Source organism: Homo sapiens, chromosome 1 (genome assembly GCF_000001405.40).
Source record: "Homo sapiens chromosome 1, GRCh38.p14 Primary Assembly".
NCBI lineage: Eukaryota > Metazoa > Chordata > Mammalia > Primates > Hominidae > Homo > Homo sapiens.
This window is the reverse complement of record NC_000001.11, coordinates 163413427-163429086: the sequence shown is the minus strand read 5'-3', so window position 1 is coordinate 163429086 and position 15660 is coordinate 163413427. Positions and strand designations below refer to the sequence as shown.

General features: G+C 40.4%; 1 pseudogene across 1 annotated transcript, besides 2 other annotated features; it reads left to right on the top strand.

Annotated features, from left to right (window-relative positions):
- Positions 1195 to 1714: an enhancer, noted in NCBI's record as "NANOG hESC enhancer chr1:163397163-163397682 (GRCh37/hg19 assembly coordinates)". NCBI's record gives its function as "activates a minimal SCP1, AML or CMV promoter by ChIP-STARR-seq in naive H9 embryonic stem cells {active_cell/tissue: H9 hESC(naive)}" and the evidence as "EXISTENCE:reporter gene assay evidence [ECO:0000049][PMID:30033119]".
- On the top strand, positions 5896 to 8017 carry LOC100422212 (eukaryotic translation initiation factor 3 subunit J pseudogene; annotated as a pseudogene). Its single transcript, NR_104294.1, has one exon. The product of NR_104294.1 is annotated as a eukaryotic translation initiation factor 3 subunit J pseudogene (transcript).
- Positions 14224 to 14347: a silencer, noted in NCBI's record as "fragment chr1:163384530-163384653 (GRCh37/hg19 assembly coordinates)". NCBI's record gives its function as "represses an EF-1alpha promoter that drives an FKBP-Casp9 reporter gene in an ReSE screen in K562 erythroleukemia cells {active_cell/tissue: K562}" and the evidence as "EXISTENCE:reporter gene assay evidence [ECO:0000049][PMID:32094911]".

Below are 15660 nucleotides of genomic sequence, written 5' to 3'. Positions count from 1 at the left end.
TCCCTCCACCTTGTGGCATGGCATTCCTCCCCCTCTTAAGAACGATAACAAATTATCTCTTCAATGGTATTCATCACCTGATCTGTTAGCCTTATGATACCTGAATAATAACACATACATACATTGTAAAACAGTAAGAAGAGAATAAATTCGCCTAAGGAAGAGAAGAATCACTGTTACATCTAAAGTACGTCTAAATTCTGTGACATCAAATAACATTTATTAAAGGGCCCACATCCTTTTTCATTCATCCTAAATATGTCCCTCCTATACTTAAGAGAACCTCATGTTTTTATGAGATGCCCAAGGCTTGGTGCAATCATAGTTATAACTTACAGGAGATGGGACAGACCTAATAATGTCCCCTTAGAGTTGTGTGAAGTAGGAATTTCCCGTTCTTCTACAGTGAAGATTGAGATGAGTTAAATTTAGAGCCAGAGAAGAGGCAGTTCAATTGAAAGGTTTGCTTTTCTAATAGCAATTGATGTTAAATACTACCGTGGAGGCTAATAAGGCTCTGCCCCCAGTTCCACAGATGTCCTTTCCCCTTTACTGAGAAGTTTCTGGTTGGAACTAACTATAATTAGCCAGAATATCTTTATGAGTATGAAAATTATAGCTCTTAATTCCCTCCTCCTTCTCCAGTTGAGAAGAAGTCTAGACCTACTTGTCCTGTGGTTAGTTTTAAAAGTATTGTGTCAAGGTTTCCATATTTTTATCATGGTGAATATAAAAATCCATTTTCCTTTTTCCTTTTTTCCTTACTAATCACCCCATCCACAGACTGCCTTTATTTCCATAAAGGTTTTTTATCATTTACTGAATAAAATCCAAGTTATTTTGTGGCACATCCACAAGCCTGTCTTACAGACTAAACTAGCCTCATCTGTCCACTCTTTCATACCAAACAATGTACGATGCGAACCCAAACTATCCCGCTGGTGTTTCCATTTTTTCATTGAATTCACCTAACAAGCCCCTCTTCATTCTCTGAACCTCATTTCATGTCACTTCCTCCATGAAATCTTCCATGACTGCCACTTCCATGCTTCCATAACCTCCTGGGCATGCCTTTTCTGTAGGTACTATCACCCTGTATTATAATTATGTACTTGTATGTCAGTATCCTGCAGGCAGAAACAATGCGTTAGGGTACAAATGAACCATGTCTTACAAGTGTATTGATTGACTGCACTTGCAATGGCAGAATAAACCCCTTGAATTACTAGTGTAGGATCCTAGCTGGGCTGCCATGTCTCCTAAGCTATATCCCAAGCTCCTTGTAGTCTACTGGTCACTATATGCTCTGTGATATCAGCATGAAGGGAGAAAGGGTGGCCCATTTTAGAAACAAAATGTGAGCACTTAAGATCTTATAATCATAACCATGGATGACTTTATCTTTGTCAATTTGTGGCTCCTCAGGTGCCACTCAAACAGCAAAATCTCCTATCCCATTTATATGAGGTGTAAATGTGTTTTCACACTTCTGCCTAGTGAGTGCTTTCTATAATGCTGATGGTTAATTACCTGACAATGAATCCCCTCTCCTGGGAGGAGGGGGAGGGGCAGTGGGGAAGGACCGAGGAAATTATTTGGATCACACTTGCTCACACAGAGGAAGCCAAAGCGACATGTGCTATTCCTTAGGAAATGTTTTCTCCTAAGCCACCTATTCCTGTCCCCAGCCCCTCCCACACCTTCACTTCTTATTCATTTTCTCCCTCTGTTTCATCTTTCAAATCACAGAGAACGCCAACTAACCTTCTGGGTTTTCTGGAGATTTCATTGTACTTGGTAATGCATGACTTATAAACATAAATAAAATAAATAGGATTCTGAGGGAATAAATTCTAAGTGGAATATCAATAAATCTCCTCCCCCCGATGATGTTGCTATGATTTTCTCTTTCTTTCTTTTTGCCCACTGCCTTTCCTAGACTGGGAAAGTGGTCTGTTCTTTCCATTGGAAGAAATTAGGGGGAGGGGAAGGCAAGTAGGGAGTAGGGAGAGAGACTGTGTGAGAAATTTAACACAGGGCTGCATTGAAATGTAAATTCCTTCAAATTATTAAGCACCAGAGAGCAGCTCTTGCCAGCTCTTTGTTCCTCAGAGTCAGAATGTGTAATCTAGAAGAATAAATATCCAGTCAGATATCAGCCACACAAAGAAATCTGGGCCATACATATTCAGAGCCCCAAGTCCCACTGATACCCCCTATCTTATCAAGAAGGTTCTGGTCACAGTCTCCAATCACCGGTCAGAACATCTCTAATGGGGGTCAGAATTAAAATTATTTTCTGCTTGCCCCAGTCCCCATCCCTCAAACCCTACTTCTCACCCCTATTAACTGTCTGGAAACCTAGACTGCCTTGTGGGTTCTTTAAACAAAAAAACCATCTGGCTTGCTCCTTCTTTCAGCCTAGCTTTGGAGATGCATTGGCTGGGGCCTTCTTTTTCAATAGAGGATACCTTTTCCAACATTTCTGCCTGGAGTTGCATAGCTCACAGCTTGGGATGAATGACTCTGTGGTCTAATTTACATTTTTAAGTCCCTCTTAGCTTCAAGAACCCTAAGATCTTCCACAGGAGAGTAAGCTGTTATCAGCCCTTTCCTTGTACTTTTTCCCATTTCTAAACAAGACATTTAGCTGGAAACCCATAAAGGTGGTAATAGCACATTTTACAGGCCTGCACAGTCGGTGGCAGCACAAATAGTGTCTTAGGAGCTTAGTAGACCCCTCGACCTGTGTCACCATCTCTCAGATGTCTGCCTTGTCTGGCTTGTAAACTCCTTGAAGTCAGATACTACAGCATTTATTCTTTGCCCTCTCTCCACTGTCCTTCTTCCCCATCATGTGCCTAGCACATACTAGGCACTCAGAAAGTTGGCTGAAAGATTTTGTAAGCCCATATGATAACTTAAGAGAGATTTTGTGTATGTGGCAGAGAAGGGGTAGCAGCTAGTGAAAGGAATTGCACCCATTTCCACATTCAGTGAATACTGTATCTTCTTAAGCCGGGGCCTTTCATTTTATATGGGTTTTACCAGAGCAAGTGTTGTTGTCAAAGATCTTTACCTGTCAACCAGAAGTCATGCTTTCCCAAAAAATGCAATATTTCTTTATCTTATAGTACTTGGAAATGCATGTCACTTTTATTCCAATGCTTATTAATATCTGACTTAATACTTGTAGGGTGCCTGGTTCTCCTTCTAGATTGTAACTTCTTTAAGAATATGGGCCATACAACAGTCATTTCTTTGTACAAAGTCGTAAATGCACTCTGAAATCAGGGAAGTGCTCAATAAATATCCATTGATTTGAGTTAACTGAATCTCCGCTTATCTTCCCTATGACCTGGTGTCCATTACCAAAAGTCTTATTCTTGTCCAGAGGCCCAGGAATCTTTAGGAATCTTTAGGCTCTGAAATGGCTTCCTTCTTCAATGAGAGGCCCTGCTGGTGCCTGTACTGTCACCTCAAAATGTTCTATTGCCCAAGTCTCTCTTCTGTTCCTGACTATTCTGACTTATGATCACCTTCCTACCTTAACGTTTGGGATTTATGTCCCTTAGAACTCTGCCAAGTTCATGCCCCATTGATTGCCTCGATAAGGTGTATCGCAAGCATAGTCCAACCTTATCTTTTATGCTTGCTTTTCAATCGACTACTCTGCTTTGTGAGTGCCCCTGAGCCTGACTGACCATGGGCACAAGTGCTGATAGGCTTGGCTGGCCAAGATCCTCATCAGTCTCAGTATACTTCTAGTCAACAAAATGCAGTCACATTGATCCTGGTGCTGACACAATACAGAGTACATACAATGCAAGTTAGGAAAGAAAAGCAGGATTTGCCCTCACATCACATCCACTTCACAACAAAATTAAGTTCAATTAAATGTAACTGAGCTTTCGTTAACAGACCTAGAGTTCTGCTGAAGGAATTTGTGGAAGAAATTCTTCAATACAGTATTGATTGATGAGTAGATCTAGAACTACAGACTCCCAGATCTGAACCCAGATGAGTTTCTTGGACACATAAGGGAAATGATCAAAGGTGGCATTTGTCAAATGGCTCTTCTCTCTGAAGAAACAGGCATGTGTTTTTGGTGTGAGGACTTTGAACTCTGCTGTTTGCACAAAAACCTAAGGTAAAAAAAAAACCTTCTAAAACAGCCCTTAACAATGAGTTTCTTAGCGTCAAATCAGAGCCTTCCAAGTAGAATGGTGCTTTTCTAAATGCCTGACATACCAAGAACTAAATACATATTTCATGAATGAATGAACACAATATACAAATGAGTGAAAAAAGTAACAATAACAGCTTTAAAAAAGTTACTTAACTTTGCTGTAACAATGGATAGAATATGAGTATATAGAAAAAAAGATATAAAAGGCATCCTTTCTAACCATTGTCTTTGTTTGGCAAAGTCTTCATAGTAATACCCCTTCCATCACTTTATTCCATAGCACAGAAGAAGTCCAAATAAAGAGACAGAAACCTTGGGAAATAGTACTGGGAATGGGAGAAAACTCCTCCAGTGAAAGAATAGAATCATCCCCTCTTATATCTGTTTGCAAATTTGAATTTGCCTCTTTTAGGTTTGCTTAAAAATAATGCCACCCCAGAGGTTGCAGTGAGCTGGGATTGTGCCACTGCACTCCAGCCTGGGAGACAGAGTGAGACTCCGTCTCCAAAAAAAAAAAAAAAAAAAAAAAAAAAAGCCACCCATGCATTAATTTTGTACATTTGTAAAACACTTTCACATCAACTACCTCAATTATTTCTTCAACTCTTCTATGAGGATGACATCATTATCTGCATTTTACATATGGGAGAAACAGACACTAGGAGTTTTATGCGAATGCCCAAAGCTACCCATTTAATGCTTTTTCTAGTTCAATAATTTTGTCTCCTAGGTGGAGAACACGTGAACTATAAGGCAAAGCCCATGGTTCTATATATCTTTGCTATGTATTGTTGTCCCTAGCTGTCCCTGTATTTTTCCCTCTTTTGTTACTTGAATCAGTGATGAGGAATGTATTAGCTTTTTATTGCTGAGTAACAAATGACCACAACCTAGTGGCTTAAAACACAACCATTTATTATCTCACAAGTCTGTAGGTAAGAAGTCCTATGAGCTCAACATGGTTCTCTGCTCACAGTTTCAGAAGGTGCAAACCGAGGCGTCAGCTGGGCTGTGCTCTTACCTAGAGACTCTGGGGAAGAACGTCCTTTCAAGCTCACTCAGGTGGTCTGCAGAGCTCAGTTCCTCACAGTTGTAGGACTGAAGTTCCCGTTTTCTTGTCAGCTATTGGCCAGGAATGGACAGGCTCCTAGAGGCTGTTCTCAGGTCCTTGCCCCATGGCCACCTCCCTGGCAAAGCCAGTAATGGCATGTGGAAGGCTTCTCATGCTACAGATTTCTCTAATTCCCCTTCTGCTGCCAGCCAGAGAAAATTCTGCGTTGAAAGGACTCACATCATTAGGTCAGGCCCACCGAGTCTCAAGGTCAACTGATTTAGGGCTTTCATTACCTCTGCAAAGTCTCTTCACAGCAGTACTGAGATCAGTGTGCAGTGATTAAGTAGGGGCTGGGAATCTTATGGGGAAAGGAGACGTTATATGGTAATCAGTCGCAACAGAAATCCAGAAGAGTTCTTTCTCCTGGTTTTATCTACTTTCCCTTTAGCTTGATTTCTGTGGTTCATTTAGACCACAGTCTAAGGTTACACATCCAACATTTTTCACCAACCTCAAAATCACTCTGAGTTCTACGTCCCCTCCCCAACGTGCGCAGCCACCAAAGGCCTCTGCACACAGCCTCGGTCCCAGCCTGCCCCGCAGTAGCCAACGAGGGCAAAGACAGGGACACTTCCGGCCCTGACGCCTCGCTGTCGCTCCCATGTGCCCCTGCCGGGAAATGGCGGCGGCTGTGCCGGTGCTCCCAGTACGCCTCAGGAATTCCGTGAAGCACCGCTGTGCGGGAGGTGGGGGCCGGCAATACCACAATACCACTGGCGGGGACAACTGAGAAGGCAATGACCAGGATATCAAGGATAACTGGGGCGACAGTGATGATGTGAAAAGAAAGAAAGAGAAGTAAAACTAGAAGTAAAGGTTTCAGAAAAGATAGATCGATAAATAATCGATCGATAGATAGATAATAGATAGATGATAGGCAGGTAGATAAATAGATAATATTATATACATGTATATGTATATGACTCGAGAAAGCCAAAGAGAAATTACAGCAACTGGAAAAAAAAAACATTAAATTAAAAAGATGTTAGGAGAACATAAAGTGCTAACACCAAAGAACAATTAGCAAACTCGACCGGGACTAAACTAAAGAAATTCCAGGAAGAGTCAGACTTCAAACCAGCCAAAAAGACGTTTGGTGTTAATACAGTTTATGGAGCCAAGGCTCTGAACCCACTTTGGAGAGATGGCTTCCTGGATTTTGAAAAGTTACTAAAAAATAAAATTACACAATATGAAAAGTCACTGTATTATGCAAGTTTGGGGTATCCTTAGATGGAGATGTGTGCCTTTTTTTAGAAGTTGATGACTTGAAAAAGATTACTGATGCTCTGCAGTGACAAAAAGAAGCAAGAGAAGCAAAAACAGAAAAGTGTGGTTCCTGGAGGGGGATTAAAGGATTAAAGGCCACCGTTAAAGACGAGACCTCATGTAACATTTTAATCTTCTCCTGGTGTCTTTTGGTTGCTCAGTCCTATGGATTGAATATTTGTTTTCCTCCAAAACTCATACGTTAAAATCCTAACCACAGTGTGATGATATTAGGAGATGGGGGCTTTGGGCCTTAACAGGTGAGATGAGGGTGGAACCCCCATGATGGGATTAGTATCCTTACAAGAAGAGAAAGAGACTAGAGCTCTCTCCTTCTCCCCACAAAGTAAGGATACAGAAAGAAAGTGGCCATCTACAAGCCAGGAAAAAGGAGCTCTCACCAGACACTGAACCTGTCAGCAACTTGATCTTAGTGTTCCCAGCCTCCAAGACTGTGAGAAATAAATGCCTGTTGTTACAGGCATCCAGTCTATGATATTTTGTTACTGAAACTCTGGTTCACTAAGACACTCACAATCCCTTTGAACATGTAGCACAACTTCCTTTCCCTTCATTTCTGCCAAATGCTGCAATTAGAAGTGCAGTATCTTTGTGCTTGCTATTTAATGTCTTGACAATTAGGAGCTAATGTAAGAAAGAGGAAATTGGGTTTTGTTGCCAAGAGGTTAAAATTTGGAAGTTCAATTGCTACTAAATCATAGCGGTTTTTGTAAATCCTAATAATGCTATAATCCTTAGTATCTTATTCCAAAAAGGCAGTGTCACTAAATTGGAAACAAACTACGGCCAAAATTGTATTTACCAGCACCATCCAGTAATGTAGCCTGAACAATACCTCCTTGAACTACTTCTTGTCAAGAAAAGCAGTTTGTAAAAAGGACATGTGGTCTTCACCTACTTTAAAGTTACTTTGTCTAAAAATTGAGTTGGAGGATTCAAAACATAGATTTTGAAGAAGAGTGCTTATTTTTGAGTGAAGTTACTGCTGCTGAAAAGCCACCAATTTGATACTTAAATGATTTAAAAGAAAAAAAAACTTTCAAACTTTGAAGCCCAAGAAAGTAAATCATTATTGTATTATAAGCTGTGGAATGTCTTGAGTGTCTAATGCCTTAACTGTCTAGTTTATATTAATCAGAATATTTCTACTGGTGGACCACTTCAGACAGAGGAGAGAGACTCTATCTCTTTTATTTGCCTAATTTAAGTGTCTGAGAAACAGAATCTCCTTTGTTCTGCTGGACTGTAATGGAAGAACTTCATCTGGGTTTTGGTATTTTCCTTCCCTTATAACATGTGCTCAGCTAACTATACTATTAATAGTTAGCAACAGTTTGCTGAATTTTTATGTTAACAGTTATGATATTACATTTTGTAAGGCAACTAACTGAATAAAATCAATAAAAAGAATACTTTGTTAACAAGGAGTTTAAACATACATATACATATACACATATAATTTTTCTTAAAAAAATAGATACATGGCAATGAAATCAGTGAGATTGTGCTTTTGAATACCACACGATCCATCTACCACACATGAAATCATTTATTTAAGTGTAGATAGCCTAAGTAAAGTTGGCTACCTCATGGCCAATTTTCATACAGTATTAATAATAATAATAACAATAAATAAAAGGACTTTCACAAAATGGTGATCTTAAGACTCTTTAAAAGCCCCCAACAGGATAATTATGCTGCATGGCTCTCAAGCAGCATCCTAAAAATTCTTTTCACTCGTCTTTCACCTCTTTAAACCCAGAAGGGCTGTTTGATGTCTAGGGCAACCTATTCTGCCGTCATTATCCATCCTTTAGTATTTTCTCTCAAGTATTCCCCCAATATCCTCCCGAATTGTGCAGCCCTTCATTACTAATTATATTTTCCCCCTCCTTTTTTCTCTCTGGTTTAATATTTTATTAGGTGGAGAAATTTAATCTCCTGACTTTTTTCTATGATCTCTTTTACCCACTGTCCAGATCAATATAATACATCCTAGACTGTAAATATAAGTTAACATGGAATCTTTTGTGAAAGACTGGCAATACAACAGCAGCCCACATGTTGTCCACATCATGAACTGGATACAGATTTTTAATTTGTGTTCTTCAGTGAGCTTTTTTTTTCTATAATTCAGGTTTCTCCTCTTCCTCTGTTTCCTGACAATTCTCAAGCCTCTGTGTGTTTTGCATTTTGGAGTTTTCTTTTTATCTCCCTTTAAAAACTTGTAACTATATGAGTCAAGTTTAATTATTGATAAATTGTGACTTTGCACCATTAGCTGTATCAATAGCTGACCAGGAAATATCTAATTCACGCTGCATCCATGTCATAGCGATTTCAGTTATTAAAAACAATTCAGGAGGAAAAAAGAAGGCACAAGCCAGACTGAAAAACAAGGTTTATTCCCAATGAAAATGAAACAGCGATGCGCAATTCGCCTTAGACTTAAGGATGTTTTATCTGTGGGTTTCAATGTCCTCTCAAAATTTCCTTATATTCTCTTATTTTATACATGGTGAGGTACAGGTTACCTTTTTGCTCACAGTCATACTGAATGAGAGTAGTAGAGTAAATGAAGAGTGGAATAAGATATCTTTACCCAGAAGTCTGGAGTCTTTCATTAATTCCCACTTCAGGACAGATGGATTTAGAGGTAGGTGAAGGGAAGAAAGAACTGCAGGGAAGGGGAGGATATGGGTGTAAAAAGACTACCACTGTAGTAACAGGCACCCAGTATTCTCAAGGGTAAAGAAGGGGAGGAGGACACAGCCCAGGCTCCATATGCAAACCCCTTACCTGGGACAAGGTCAGCTGTCTTCTCCAGGTTGTGACCTGACCACTTGTTTTTCTGGAATGGTGCTGGGTGTCATATAGTGGAATATAGGGCCTCTGCATGGGAAACCTAATCTAACTCTATCTAGAAACAGTTTATTCAATCACATTACCAGTTTAGAGGTGATTTTTCCACTTTCCCCTTGTTATAGACAGAATTGTGGCTCCTTGTATTGTTTATGGTTCCTTCCTTCCCTCCGTATACAGCACTGCCTTTCCCACCCCTGACATTCATGCAGCAACAACATAAGCATCTGGGACCCACAGAGAGACTGATAGTAAAAGGGCCAGCTCAGAATTGAGTCATTCATGCAGATCTTTTAAAGACCTACAAGTTGAAGAATGGAATAGAAGCCGTGAGAAGGTACACGGCCCATGATCTATGGACTTTTGAGTCAAATAGACCCGAATTCAAAACACATTTTCCCTGCTTATCAGTTTGGCCCCAATTTCACTATACTGAGACTTGGTTTCTCATTTATAAAATAAAGAAAATAATGTGTTCAAAGAAGGACCTATTATTTCCCTCACTCCTTTTCCCCTCTCACCTCTGGAAGGAAGTTATGCCATCAGAGATAAGGACGTTAACAAAAGAAAGATCTTGTTCTTGTATTTGTTATTGGTTTTTGTTTTGTTTTATTTTTTTGAGACAAGAGTCTCTCTCTGTCACCCAGGCTGGAGTGCAGTGGCACGATCTCGGCTCACTGTAATGTCCGCCTCCTTGGTGCAAGCGATTCTCCTGCCTCAGCCTCCCGAGTAGCTGGGATTACAAGCATGCATCATCATGCCCAGCTAATTTTTGTATTTTTAGTAGAGATGAGGTTTCACCATGTTGGCCAGGCTGCTCTCAAACTCCTGGCCTCAAGTGATCGGCCCGCCTCAGCTTCCCAAAGTGCTGGGATTACAGCGTTATTGTTTTTTTATTTTTGGCTTTGGTTTTGCATCTGTTCCACTCTGAGGACTTTAACATGCAAAGGACAGCACATTGTAAAGGTTTAAAGTCCTTAATGAATAAAGCTTTCGTAGCTCTTACCTCAAAGCACTCAGTCAGTATGAGGCCAGCATCTTCTGGAGATGGGAAGGACAAGATGGAGGTTCAAAATGTCTGAAGAGAACTTTCCCCCTTCAGAAAAAGGGGGAAGAATTGAGAGAGTGGGCCATGAATACAGTAAGGAAAAATGGAGGGGTAACTGATACCTGTCTCATAGGCTCTTGCAAAAACTACCAATATATATATTTATTATGCTTATATAATATATAAATACGTGGCTCGCAAAACGTAGTCACCAAATAAATGGCGGTCATTACATTTTATCATTATTATTACAATGACAATTAATATCTACAAGTGGCCAGGTACTTGGAGGTGGTCTAGTCCATGTTTCACATTGATAGTGTCATTAGCTTCCCTGCTCCATCTTCCCTGTCTTCCCTCCCTTACACAATCTGCAATAGGGAATGTATGATCCACATCTCACATATCCTGAACCTAGAAGCCCACCAATAGGGCTTTATACAGCTGCCTCTGGGAACTTTCTTACGTGAAACCGTTTTTTTCTTGGGATGTCCTACCTGAGGTACTAATATTATGTTTTTCTGTCAAGACAGGTAGTTAGCTCTTATTAACTCTGCTTTCAGTCTTGGGCTTTCATGATTGAAACACAGTCAAACCGAGAGTGAGTCCTTAGTTCATCAAGCTGTCAACAGTGACTCCACAAGAGTTGGGAACAGAAAATATTATGCCAATAATGGTATGTAAAAAGAAGGACTCTCTTTTATTGGTAACATCTGGCACAGTTTGTTAGAGCAGTCTAACCATGTGGCCAGGCAAGCACTTACTCTGATAAATGAGAATCAACATGGATGTTCGTATACACAGGGGCTCACTACTCCCCACAAAAATTACTCCAGCCTTTCATCCAGTAGCTTCCTTTATAATTTTGTCTTTTTTCTATAATTTCAACCACATGTCCTTCCAGGTTTGGAGCTGCTTACCTCCCTACAAAACCTACATTTTGGCAGAAACCCCAAGGCCTTGGAAGGCAAGACATTTCAGGACACTGCTTCATGACTGCTCCCATTTTCTTGTCTCGCTCTCCACCCACACACCTTGGGCCAGCCTTCCCCCATGACTTCTTCACAGGGATCAGCCTACACGAAGACAGAAGCAGATCAGGGTCTGTATTTTCTTTGCTCCTCACACCATTAACCAGAGTCCCAAGAAAGATACCCCATAAGCACTCAAGACTGGTTAGTACAATGTATAAATGAACAACATTTGCTTTAATGTCTCAATGTATTGATCATCTTCTCTTCCGAAAATGAATTGTTCCCCACTAGTTCCCAAATCCCACACACTGGCAGAATCATATTATTCTGATGTGGAAGATGGGTCCCTAGTGTTTAGGCATGTTATTTAGAGTAGAGCAAACCTGTGAGAAGTGAGATACCAAGTCTTGAAAAAGAATTCTTTCTGTTACTTTAGAACCATGCATGATGATTCTTTTTGTGGAATTTTACTTAATTCTCCTCTCTCTCTCTCTCCCAGCCCATTGTCAACTTTTTTTTTTTTTTTTTTTTTTTTGATACGGAGTCTCGCTCTGTCGCCCAGGCTGGAGTGCAGTGGTGCGATCTTGGCTCACGGCAAACTCCGCCTCCCGGGTTGACGCCATTCTCCTGCCTCAGCTTCCCAAGTAGCTGGGACTACAGGCGCCCGCCACCATGCCCGGCTAATCTTTTGTATTTTTAGTAGGGACGGGGTTTTACCGTGTTAGCCAGGATGGTCTCCATCTCCTGACTTCATGATCCGCCTGCCTCAGCTTCCCAAAGTGCTGGGATTACAGGCGTGAGCCACCGCGCCCGGCCCCATTGTCAACTTTTTAATAAGCCTCTCCCTTCATGACCACTGTCTCCCACATCCCTAAAGAAAAAGGTATGAGACTTAAAAATTGTAGAAATTGATTAGTATTGTTGCTTTGTTTATTAAACACCAACGAATATTTCTTCAGCACCATCTTTATGGCAGGCACTGTATGTAGGCACTAAGGACGAGACAGTGAGGAAAAAAAGACAATTTCACTTTTAAAAGATTTAGATTCTAGCAATGGGTAAACAGGCAATAAACAGTTAATATGTAAAATACATAGGATGTCAGGTGATAATATATGGTAGCAGGGAAAATAAAATCAGAGAAAGAGGCAGAGGAAGTACTATTTTAAACAGAGTGTTTAGGAACAGTGTCCTTGATAAGATGACATTTGCAACGAGACCTGACAGAAGTGAATGAGTGAGCTGCGTGGAAACCCAGAGAAAGTTCATTCCAGGCAGAGGGAACAGCAGGTACAAAGGCCTTGCAGCAGGACTATTCTGGTCCCCTGGAGAAACCATAAGAGGGTTAATGTGGCTGGCCGCTTGATAGGTTATTATAAGAACATTGGCTTTTATTCTGAGATGAAAAACCACTGACAGAAGAATTATAAGATCTGATTTGTGCTTTTAAAAGGATACTTCTGGTGGCTAGCCAGAGAACAGAGTATAGCGGGGGTCAAGGGTAAAAGCAACGAGGCCATAAATTAGGGTGTCCTTAAACCAGGAGGATCAACATAAAGGTGAGGAGCAAAGGCTAGAGTCTGTGTAAACTTAGAAGGTAGAGCTGGTAAGATTGGATGGTGAATTTGTTATGAGATATTTATTAAAATTCAACAATGGCACTAAAGTTTTTACTCTTAGAAAACATAAGAATGAAATTACTGGTTATTAAAATGGGAAAAACAAGGGAAAATAAACAAGTGTGAAGGAATGATCATGATCAACAGTGAGGTTTGAGACATGTTAAGTTTGAAATGCCTAAAGACATCTCAAAACATCCAAGATTAAACGATGACTAGGCAGCTGGACTCAGGGGAGAAGTCAAGATCAGAATGATGTATTTGGTAATCCTTAGCATAGATGATGTTTAAAGTCATGAGGCTGGAGGCACCACACAGCAAGTGATAAGAGATAGAGAAGAAAAGAAGTCTGAGCATTATGCCACAGAGTCATACTAGAGTTTAAGGATCTATGAGGGAGAATCGGCAAAGGGTACAAAAGAAGGAATTGTCAATGAATTAGGAAGTAAACCAGTAAATTAGGAGTATGGCACTGCAGAAGCCAAGTAAAGTAATGAGACTGATCATCTGTGCCAAATGCTGCTGGTGGAGAAAGAGAGATGAGGGCTAGGAATGGACCACTGAACTTCACAACAGGGAGGTCATGGGTGAGCTTAGCAACAGCACTTTGGTAAAGAAGTGGAGGCAAATGCCTGATTGGAGCTGGTGTAAAAGAAGTACAATGTATCGATAATGGGGGTAGAGAGAAACATTTCAGCAAGTTTTGTGGTCATGGGCAACAGAGATATGAGACAGTAACTGGAGAGAAATAGTGGCTCAGGAAGCTTTCTTTTTTTCTCCTTTTTTAAAAAACATGGGGAAAATTATAGCATGCTTGTATGTGAACGGTAATTGTCTAGTAAAAAAGGGGAAATTTGATGCTGTAGAAGAGAAAAGGGAGAATTGGTGGAGAGATTTCCTTAACTAGCAAGAGAGGACAGGCATATATAAGCAGATAGTTGGGCTTTAGAGAGGATAATGGGAAGTTCACAGCTTGCCTTGAGTGGCTGAAGAACATTCAGTTTCATTTTGCCTGGTGCTCAGTGAAGCATTCTACCTCAACTTTACATATCAGCTCAGAGAGAAAGCTGTTCATGTTTATACACCACCTGATCTAGCATTCCTATTTTCTTTTTTAAAAAATTATGCATGTATATATGTGTGTATGTGTTTTCGAGACAGGGTCTTGCTTGGTTGCCCAGTCTGGAGTGCAGGCACGATCACAGCTCACTGCAGCCTCAACCTCCCAAGGTCAAGCTATTCTTCTACCTCAGCATCCCAAGTAGCTGGGACTAAAGGCATGCACCACCAAGCCCAACAAAATTTTTTATTTTTTGTAGAGATGGGGGGTCTCACTATGTTGCTCAAGCTGGTCTCAAACTCCTGGACTCAAGCTACTTTCCTGCCTGGATTACAGGCAAAAGCCACCATGCCCAGCCTCTACTCTTCCATTAATTTATGTATTCAACAACATTCAATTTAGCATTTTCAGTGTATGAAGTATGAAAATAAAGAGAAAAATCAAGAAAATATGCCTATTGCTTAAAAAAAATTACAATTTATCAGGATATATAGGATATGTGCCCAAAACACTAAACCTACACAAGTATGTGGTAAACATCATAAAAAAGACACAGCCAAATGCAACAGTTTAGGGGGAAGAAAAGACATAATGAGTCAAGCCTAGTTTCTTGGCAGAGGTGCCACATGTGGTGCTGGTCCTTCTGAATATAGAGAATTTCACCCAACGAAAGATAAGAGAATGGTGCCCCAGACAGACATCACGGCATGAGTAAAGGCATTTAGGTGGGAAAACATGGAGAATGTATGCTTGTCCTCAGTGGTACTTATATCGTCTCCTATTGCCTGTTTCGTTTTGATTTTGTCTTATTTTTGCCTTGTTACAAGGGTCAAAAAAGATAGAATTACTTGGGAAAGATCTGAGACTAAACCTAATCATTCTTAATGTGAGGTATCCGTTATTCAATGTCCTTCTTCAAACTCAAGTCTAGCTAATTTTTTTAAAAAAATCAAGACATGTGATCTCTGATGTTTTTAAAGATGGAAACACACTCAAGTGTTGCCAAAGACACAGTACAAATTCAAGATAGAGGCTGGTTTAGAGCCAGGGAGTATGTTGTGTATTTCTGCCCTATCTACACACACACAGAGTGTCATGGCTAGGTGAGACCACTTTGTTTAGTTATTACTTCCTGATGTCATGATGAAGAGTAGAGGGTAAAAAGGGTTTCTTATTTGTATATCTGAGAAAGTGATGACAAGATACTTCCTAAGCACATGCATTCAACAAATTTGGATGGCCTCCTGTGACGGACACCTTGCTGGGCTCCAGGAAATGTAGTGGCTATAGAGAGGAAGAACATTCTTTCATTCCTTGATCCTCTACAAATGCATATTGATGGAATGGATTCAGAGCTGGGCAAGGAAATCTCTCTACCACTCCCACTCAAGTAAAGAATTTCTACATTTTAATAACAGTATCAGAGATTTATAGTTTTCCAAGCAAGTCGACATGTAGTACTTCATTTACCTGCCCCACCCCTGCCGCAGTATGCATTCAGCTT